Below are 10,091 nucleotides of genomic sequence, written 5' to 3' on the forward strand. Positions count from 1 at the left end.
TTCTTTTTCTTCCTCTTTCTTTCCTTCTTTCTTTCTTTCTTTTTTTTTTTTTTTTTTTGACAGCGTCTCACTCTGTTGCCCAGGCTGGAGTGCAGTGGCATGGTCACGGCTCACTGCAGCCTGGAACTCTTGGGCTCAAGCGATCCTCCCACCTCAGACTCTCTAGCAGCTGGGACCACAGGTGCACACCACCATGCCCAACTAATTACTTTTTGTAGAGACAGGGTCTCACTATGTTGCCCAGGATTCCTACTTCTGATCCTGCCTTGTCTGTCTTGAGAATGTTTATCAGGTTGAAACCTTGAGTTTCTTCAAGAGGCTCCAGGAGGCTGTGGCTACTGAGTCATTCCTTGACCTCTTTCCTTGCCTATGGGTCATCTGAGCCCCACTGTTCCCTTAGGCAGAAAACTTTGATATCCTTGGGGACATCTGACCCTAACCCCTTCTCTTGCTCTTTCTCCTTTATTGGGTGTACCCATCCCATCTCCTGTGGTGGAGAAAGGACAGTTCAAGAGAAATTCATTCTCAAGGCTTGACTCCTACTTAAACATCACAGGATACATTCCCTGGAAGGGGAAGGGTGCGTCTGTACTGGCTTCCTTAGAAACTTCAGAACAGAAAAGACGCCTCCTTTCCCTCCCCCTCCCCAATTCAAACAGGGGCTGGGAGAGAGGAAGAGATTATTGTTTCAGGGGGTGGGGGGTGTGGATGGACTGAGTGCTGAAACTTCCTTTTCTTCTGGCACAGCTCTATTTGTAGAAGTGCCAGAGTCCTGGGGAGAAAAGCAAGAGAGGGAGAAAAAGAACATTATTTGAGGGCATTTGGCTGCTCTTTTACACTCGAGATCAAACAGAGAAAATCCAGCGTCATGCCCTCCCCATCTTTCTGTCCCTAGCATGTAGATGTCCTGTGGTGTGTCTCACAAATGCACATGCACATGCATGCGAACACACACACAAACACGCACACACACCCTCGCACTGTTGAAACCAGAGCTGCTGGCTCCAGGGAGGGGAGTGAAGAAGCAGCTGTGGACAGGTATGGGTGGCCACATACCTGCCCTTCTGGGAGGTGACACTTCCATTACACCTCCACAGGTTTCATGTTGACCTCACCCTAGCTTTGGCCCAATGTTGTCAGGATGGGCAGAAGGATGGCAGAGCTCAGCTGGCCCAAAGCCAGCAAGCAAAGAGTTCTCAGCAGGCCCTTGAAGTGCCAGCAAATCAGTTCCCCCCAAGGACCAAATCTGGAGAAAACTCAGCTTAAAGCACAGCAGTAGCACACACTGGCTTCAGCAACACATATACTAAAATTGGAATGATACAGAGAGGATTAGTATGGCCCCTGCATAAGAATGATACGCAAATTGATGAAGCATTCCATATTTTTCAGTTTGTCAAGCATTTTATTCTTTTGAATAAAACCAACATGTCTATAACTTAACAAAAAAGCAGCATAGCAGCAGAGATTGGGCCTAGATCACTAGGTGAACTTCAGTGATGGCTGAGAGAAGCACCCTGGAGACTTCTTGAGGGTTGGGGGAAGCCCCCATCTTCCCTGAGGGATTTTCGGAAGGCAGGGTGCAGGCCCAGGATAAAGTTCCGGGTCTGGATTGCAGAAAGTGACCCTGGCAGCCCAAAACCTTTGGCATTGCTGAATCAGAAGGGATTTTGACTGGCCTCATGTCACCCCCAGTAGGCTGGGACTGGGGCTCTAATTGGCTGTAATTTGTTGATGAATGCAATTTGCAGCTGCCTTCTCTCTTTGTGACAGGCCTCAATTAGAGCCGCCAAAGGGATCTAGGGTGGGAGGGGGAGCTGGGATGTTGATTCCAACTCCTTCCCCTGGTCCGCTCTCAGCACTCTGCCCCATCCTGAAGCAAGAGGAGGTTCTTGAGGCTAGTTAATTGTCCCCCAGCTTGGCCGGGGAATGGTGGCTCACGCCTGTAATCCCAGCACTTTGGGAGGCCGAGGTGGGTGGATCACGAGGTTAGGAGATTGAGACCATCCTGGCTAACACGGTGAAACCCCATCTCTACTAAAAATACAAAAAATTAGCTGGGCATGGTGGCGGGCGCCTGTAGTCCCAGCTGCTTGGGAGGCTGAGGCAGGAGAATGGTGTGAACCCGGGAGGCGGAGCTTGCAGTGAGCCGAGATCACGCCACTGCACTCCAAGCCCAGGCGACAGAGCGAGACACCGTCTAAAAAAAAAACTTGTCACCCCACTTACAGTCAGTGATATAATTTTAGAACAAGTGGAGAGTGAGAAAGGTATAAAATGAAGGCTGCCTTCCTGCAGGTTGGTCTGGATGTTATGGATTTTAAAACTTGACCACGTTTCATGTTTAGTACTTTCTTATTTATTTTAGAGCTTCTGAAAATTCTATAGAAAGGAAGACTTTTGAGCTAAAATGTTTATTTCTATCTTATAGTCCTTTCTCCCTCTTACCAGATAAAGCAAAAAAAATAGAAATCAGAATGATGGGGCCGGGCGCGGTGGCTCACGCCTGTAATCCCAGCACTTTGGGAGGCCGAGGTGGGTGGATCACCTGAGGTTAGGAGTTCGAGACCAGCATGACCAACATGGAGAAACCCCATCTCTACTAAAAATACAAAATTAGCTGGGCGTGGTGGTGCATGCCTGTAATCCCAGCTACTGTGGAGGCTGAGGCAGGAGAATCACTTGAGCCCGGGAGGTGGAAGTTACAGTGAGCCAAGATCATGCCACTGCACTCCAGCCTGGGCAACAAGAACGAAATCCCATCTCAAAAAAAAAAAAAAAAGGGTAACGGGCCAGGTGCAATGGCTCACGCCTATAATGCCAGCACTTTGGGAGGCCAAGGTGGGTGGATCACTTGAGGCCAGGAGTGGGAGACCAGCATGGCCAACATGGTGAAACCCTGTCTCTACCAAAAATACAAAAAAGTTAGCCGGGTGTGATCTCAGCTACTTGGGAGGCTGAGGCAGGTGTATCACTTGAACCTGGGAGGTGGAGGTTGCAGTGAGCTGAGATTGCACCACTGCACTCCAGCCTGGGCAACAAAGTGAGATTCCATCTCAAAACAAACAAACAAACATCTAACCTGGAAGCTCAATGTGTAAAACACGACACAACTGATCCAGTTAAAGTGGAACTGGGGGCTCTGAGCCCCATTGGACTGGCCTCCTCCCTAAATCTTGCCTCTCCTACCCCTTGCCTTGGTGGCCTCCCTATGACAGCTATAAGGTTCAGTTAGATTGACCAACTCATCCCAGTTTGTCTGACTTTATTTATTTATATTTCTTCTGAGTGGCCAATGCAGCATACCAGTCCCAGCTGGCTCAATTTGTCTAGTTTTGGCACTGAAAGTCCTGCATCCTGAGAAATATCTGGAACCTGGGCAAACCAGGACAGTTTGTTGCCCTAGGTTCAACAGAGCATGGTTTGAAAACTAGTGATACAATCCCTCTGATCTACTGATGAAGATACTGAGCCCATAAGAGATGTGGTAGTTTGAAGTCCCATAGATAGATTATCATGCCCAGGAGTGACCTGCATTGGGGTGGTGAATATTGCTTCTCTGTCCCGTATCTCTGTGAGAAGTAAAACTGTCCATCGCCAAATCTCTCTTCTCCTTCAAGACCCCCTTTTATGAAGCCTTCCTTGGTTCTTCCAGAAAGAGTTGTGTTCTCTTTTCTAATTCTTCTTTTAGAGTACTTATCGGGTAGAGTTATTTTTAATCTTGGGTCTTTCCATTCAGACTGGAAGTTTCTTGGTTCCAAGTCCCATTTGTTTTCATATTCCTCAGCACCTAGTGCAGCGTCTGGCATAGAGTAGGCACTCAAAGATATTTTTAGATAGATGGATGGATGGATAGGTGGACAGTTGGATGGATTTGGAGGATAGGTGGATGAAGAGATGGATGGATAGATGAATGGATGGGTTGGAGAATGGATAGATGGAATGGATGGGTAGAGAAAATGACGGATGCATGGAAGGCTTGGTGCCTTGTTGAAGAGAGTGGCATGAAACAATTAGGAAGTTTCTAGGCAAGTTCTTCTTGCATCATTTCCCCGCTACTATGGCCATTTTCCCTGAATTCGATTTTTGGAATATCTAATGTACGTACATTCAGATGCAAGGACCAAAACAACTTCCCAAGCCAATTAGAAGTCACTTAAATGTGTCATTTTTGGATTATTTGTGCCATTGCTTTCCTCTACAGAAAGTTATGGTTTAGCTACACAAATACAATATTTGATGAGAATACCTCAAATAGGCAGCTGATGGCAATGACGAAGACTGTCTGAAAATAAAACAGCTTGAAAATATCTGACAGTGGAGAGTGTAGGAGGCAGGGACAGAGAGTAAGCCACTGGTGCAAATAGCGAGCAAGGCGATCAGGACTTGAGGACTGGAAAGGCAAGAATTATGAAAGGAGGATTCAAGACACACATTAGAAGGACTTCCCAATTATGTTTGGAAGCAAAACATTAGACTAAATGATTATTTGTGATTTTTAAAAATTTTATTTTTGAGACAGGGTCTCATTATGTCGCCTATGCTGGAGTGCAGTGGTGTGATTATAGCTCACTGCAGCCTTGATCTCCCAGGCTCAAGTGATCCACTCACCTCAGCCTCCTGAGCAACTGGGACTACAGGTGTACACCACCATGCCCAGCTATTTAAAGGAATTTTTTTTTTTTTGGCCGGGCGTGGTGGCTCATGCCTGTAATCCCAGCACTTTGGGAGGCCGAGGTGGGCGGATCACAAGGTCAGGAGATTGAGACCATCCTGGCTAACACAATGAAACCCCATCTCTACTAAAAATACAAAAATTAGCCGGGCGTGGCGGCATGTGCCTGTAGTCCCAGCTGCTGGGGAGGCTGAGGCAGGAGAATGGCGTGAACCTGGGAGGCGGAGCTTGCAGTGAGCAGAGATCGCACCATTGCACTCCAGCCTGGGCGACAGAGCGAGACTCTGTCTCAATAAATAAATAAACAAATAAATAAATAAAAGAGTTTTTTAGTAGAGATGAGGCCTTGCTATGTTGCTCAGGCTGGTCTTGAGCTCCTGAGCTCAAGTGATCCTACTGCCTTGGTCTTCCAAGGTGCTGGTACTACAGGCATGAGCCAATGCACCCAGCCTATTCATGATTCTTGACCTACTCTCTCTCAAGTAAAATTTATTGAGCATCCATTCTGACCCATGTATCAGGCTAAGCACTTTCACTTGTATTATCTCAGCCCATCATGCCTGGGGACAGGAAGATGGAGTTCACACACTCTTGATGTGCACATTTTTCTTAGACGATCTCCTCCACACCCGTGCTTTTAACCACAGAAGCTACTTTGACTCTCTGGTCCAGCTCTCCTCTTGCCCCACACCTTTCCTTTACCCTGCTGCTGACTCTCTCCCACTAGATGTCTGCAGATGCCTCCAACTGAAGGGACTCCACACAGGACTCATCTGTTTTCCCACTAAACCTTCTCCTCTGCCCAGATTCCCCATCTCTACTCATGGCACTCTCACCTGACCCACTCAACACCCAAGTCAGAACATGGGCATCAGCTCCTTTTCCCTGCCTGTGCCCCCCATGCTGGTCACCATGTCCAGTAATTCTACTTCTTAAATGCCTCGCAGATCTGTGTTTTCCTTTTCCTTCCAATGGGAGCTGCCCTAAATTCAGGTCCTCACCATTTCTCACTGGGTTACTTCCCTAGCTTCCTTTTGCTCCCTTTCTCCCCCATCTCATATTCTGGGAATCCATTCTTTACTTAGTTGCCAGACTCATTTTCCAAAATGCAAATCTGATCAGTCACACACCCTCCAAGCCTTTTGATGATACTCTAGCTGTTTTTAAAATAACATCCAAAATCCTTAGCTTCTCTGACAAGAGCCTTAACCCCTCACTCTGCCACACCAAATCCCAGTACTTGCTGGCCTATGCACTTTCATCCCCATGCCTTTTCACAGGCTACTTCTGCTGCCTAGGAATGCCTTTCCTCCCATTTATACCAATCTAATTCCTCCTCATTCCTCACGATTCAGTGTGTTAGATGTCACCTCCTCCAGGCAGACTCTCTGACTGCCCCTCTGCTCCTGAGTCTGAGTGAGCTCCCCCTCCTCTGGCCTCTCACTGTGTCCAGTGCTTGTCTCTTCTTTAGTACTGATTACGCTGTATTACAGTTGCCTGTTTCCTTGTGTGTCTCTCCCACTCAAATGTGAGATATTCCAGGACAGGTGTGCTGTCTTTCACATCTGCATTCCTTGCGCTGCATGTTTTGCCTGGCATGTAGTGTGCCCAGTAAATGTTTGTTGAGTGAATGTATGGCTGGTAGTTCTCTATAATCTACGGGCCTTTGATCTCATTCTCTCTCATAGGACAGTCAATTCAGTACAGTTTAAGATAGGACTCAAGATGTGCTGTGGAAATCAGTACATTTTTCTCTCTCTCCTTCCCTCATCTCTCTCAGAATTCGCCGGTGGCCACACCCTTGGCACAGACACAGGCAGCTCAGTCTGCAGAACGTCAGCTGGCAGCGAGCAGCCCTTCCCTTCCTCCCTGGCTCTGTCTTCGCGCTCAGCACAAATCGTTTTTCCTTTTTGGGTGTTCAGAGCTCTGATAGCAGAGGGCTGGGTGGGAGTGTGGCAGAGCGGGCTGTCTGCAGGGAGGCAGAAAAGCGGGGTGTGGGAGAGCCAAGATGTGGGTGGAAGCATTGCTATGTAGGCCCTTTTAGAGGGAGAAAGAAAATTTAGCTCCTCTTTGGGGCTGCCTGGGGCACAGCAGCTGAGATGTGCTTGTCCCCTTTTGCTCTCCGGGGGTTGGGATAACCCTGTTGATATTTAGCCTCCTTCTGAGCATTGGCAAGCCTTCTGAGAGAGAGAGGCAATGAGAGAGGGAGAGATTATGGATTTTCAAAACTGGCCCAGTACATTCCCTTGATACCAAGCCACTGGGCAGAATCTTGGGGGTCAAGCTATTGCTGTTTCCTTGTTTTGGAGAACATAGGAAAAGATAATCTGCCACATACCTCATTCATTCATTCAGTACCTGGGTGATGCCAGACACTGGGGACACAGATGAATAAGGCCCAGTGCTCCTCCTGGGGCTCACAGTATACGGGGCATGGGCTTGTAAGGAGATGTGTTACAAGTGGGCTGGGATGGTTGTGAGAGGAAAGGCTTGGCAGGCTTGGAGGAGAACAGGTCACTCCGTCCATGGAAAGAAGGTGATGTTGGGGCTCTGGGAGTGATTTCTGTACGGTCTTGTACTTACAACTACCTCCAACATCAGTTCCTGAGAGGAGACTCTGTTTAACTCTTCATAAAGACAGCAGCAGCAGCCATGGTAGAGAATATGGAATTTGGAGAAGACAATGTGATTTCAGACCCTGGCTTACCACCTCATTCATTCATTCAGTAAATGCCTGGATCTGCTGTGAACAATTGACATCAGTTCTCTGAGCCTCAGTTTTGTCATCTATATAATTGGGATAGTGGTGACACTCACCTCACCATTCTGTTGGGAGGATTACATGAGCTCGTTTATGTGATAATGCTTTGTAAACTGGAAAGTGCTGTGCAAATATGAGCTGCTAATTACCCTTCCATCTATCCACTGATTCAGTCAACAAATAACTATCAAGTGCCCTCTTCTAAAGGCCTGACAAGGCCCTTTTTGAGGCAGGAGCCTGTTTCTTGCATGTGCGCGTGTGTGTGTGTGGGGAGGGGGTTGCTGTGTGTGACCATAGCGCGTCTTCATTAAGCGGCAACCATCTGCTCTGTCTGAAGGGAAGTCCTAGTTTCCCCAGCTCTCAGCCCTCGTCCCCACTGCAGGCGGGCAGGGACACGTTCTGCAGTCTCCCCGCTGAGGGTTGCTGCTGCACACAGGAGGCCGGCAGGGCGTGTGAATCACCAGCCTTAGTCACCACTCTGCCTACAGGGCTTGTCTTCCCTACCAGATGATGAGCCCAAAATAAAAATACGGCTGAAGAGCGAGTTAGCATTCCAGGCTGTCTCTGAGAGGCATCTGAGCCACCAGGAAAGGAGCTGAATGCATTATTTTGCACTTCTCCCAGCCCCCAAAACTCACATCAGGAGCATCCTGGGTAACCTCAGAGCTGAGGGGCAGCAGAGAGAGGGACGCCGGGCTTGGTGGTGAGGGTAGGAGACTGAGGGTGGCTTTCCGCACAGTCACCGTCTCAGCAGGTCCTGTCCAGCCACATTATCAGCTCTAACTTGTGCACAGTGCTTTGTGGCTTACAAAGTGCTTTGATACACTTTCTCTCATTTGATGCTCATGAGAACTTTGTGAGGGAGTTACTGGAAGGCAGAACAGCCTGGAGGTCCAGTGTGTGGCTTCTGGAGCCGAACCTGCCTGACTTTGAATCTGTTTTTGTTGCCTACTGGCTGTGGGACTTTGAGCAAAATCCCTTAGCCTGTTTTTTTGTTTTGTTTTGTTTTGTTTTTTTGAGACAGAGTCTCGCTGTCTCCCAGGCTGGAGTGCAGTGGCGCGATCTTGGCTTACTGCAAGCTCCGCCCCCTGGGTTCACGCCATTCTCCCGCCTCAGCCTCCTGAGTAGCTGGGACTACAGGCGCCCACCACCACCGGCCGGCTAATTTTTTGTATTTTCGGTACAGATGGGGTTTCACTGTGTTAGCCAGGATAGTCTCGACCTCCTGACCTCGTGATCCGCCCGCCTCAGCCTCACAGTGCTGGGATTACAGGCGTGAGCCACTGCGCTGGCCTAATAATAGTGGTGGTGTTTTTTTTTGTTTGTTTGTTTGTTTGTTTGTTTGTTTGTTTGTTTGAGACAGAAAATCTTGCTCTTTCACCAGGCTGGAGTGCAGTGAGGCGATCTCGGCTCACTGAAAACTTCTGCCTCTTGGGTTCAAGCGATTCTCCTGCCTCAGCCTTCCAAGTAGATAGGACTACAGGCACACACCACCACACCCAGCTAATTTTTTTTGTATTTTTAGTAGAGACAGGGGTTTCACCGTATTGGACAGGATGGTCTTGATCTCTTGACCTCGTGATCCACCCGCCTCAGCCTCCCAAAGTGTTGGGATTACAGGCGTGAGCCACCCGCCTGGCCAGTAATTATTTTTGTAGAGATGGAGTCTCACTACATTGTCCAGACTGGTCTTGAACTTTTGGCCTCAAGCCATCCTGCTGCCTCAGCCTCCCAAGTAGCTGGGATTACAGGCGCCCGTCACTGCGCCTGCCTAGTTTTTGTATTTTTGATAGAGACGGAGTTTCACCATCTTCGCCAGGCTGGTCTCAAACTCCTGACCTCGTGATCTACCTGCCTCAGCCTCCCAACGTCCTGGGATTACAGGCATGAGCTACTGTGCCTGGCCCAGTTTTCTCATTTTCAAAATGGAGGTACTGGCTGGGCACGGTGGCCCATGTCTGTAATCCCAACAATTTGGGAGGCCAAGGCAGGCAGATCAGCTGAAGTCAGGGGTTCAAGACCAGCCTGGTTAACATGGTGAAACCTCGTCTCTAATGCAAAAAATTAGCTTGGCATGGTGGTGTGCACCTGTAATCCCAGCTACCTGGGAGGCTGAGGCAAGAGAATCGCCTGAACCCAGAGGGCAGAGGTTGCAGTGAGCCACTACACTCCAGCCTGGGTGACAGAGTGAGACTCCGTCTCAAAAAAGTAAATAAGTAAATACATAAAATGGACATACTAATAGTACAGTTTTTGTTTTGTTTTGTTTTTGTTTTTATTTTTTGAGACAGAGTCTCACTCTGTTGCCCAGGCTGGAATGCAATGGCACCATGTCGGCTCACTGCAAACTCCGTCTCCTGGGTTCGAGCAATTCTCCTGCTTTAGCCTCCCAAGTAGCTGGGGTTACAGGTGCCCGCCACCACGCCTGGCTAATTTTATATTTTTAGTAGAGACAGGGTTTCACCATGTTGGCCAGGCTGGTCTCAAACTCCTGACCCCGTGATCCACCCACCTCGGCCTCCCAAAGTGCTGGGATTACAGGCGTGAGCCACCATGCCTGGCCAATAGTACAGTTTTTATAAGGTTAATATTTTTTAATCTGTTTATTATCTCCCCAAATTAGAGCAAAAGCTATAATAAAGAGGGATCTTTGTT

At 48.4% G+C, this 10,091-nt stretch overlaps 1 pseudogene, besides 1 other annotated feature; it reads left to right on the plus strand.

Annotated features, from left to right (window-relative positions):
* RNU6-470P (RNA, U6 small nuclear 470, pseudogene) lies at nucleotides 1,286-1,389 on the plus strand (annotated as a pseudogene).
* Nucleotides 7,444-8,255: an enhancer, noted in NCBI's record as "H3K27ac-H3K4me1 hESC enhancer chr17:41495953-41496764 (GRCh37/hg19 assembly coordinates)". NCBI's record gives its function as "activates a minimal SCP1, AML or CMV promoter by ChIP-STARR-seq in naive H9 embryonic stem cells {active_cell/tissue: H9 hESC(naive)}" and the evidence as "EXISTENCE:reporter gene assay evidence [ECO:0000049][PMID:30033119]".

Source organism: Homo sapiens, chromosome 17 (genome assembly GCF_000001405.40).
Source record: "Homo sapiens chromosome 17, GRCh38.p14 Primary Assembly".
Taxonomy (NCBI): domain Eukaryota; kingdom Metazoa; phylum Chordata; class Mammalia; order Primates; family Hominidae; genus Homo; species Homo sapiens.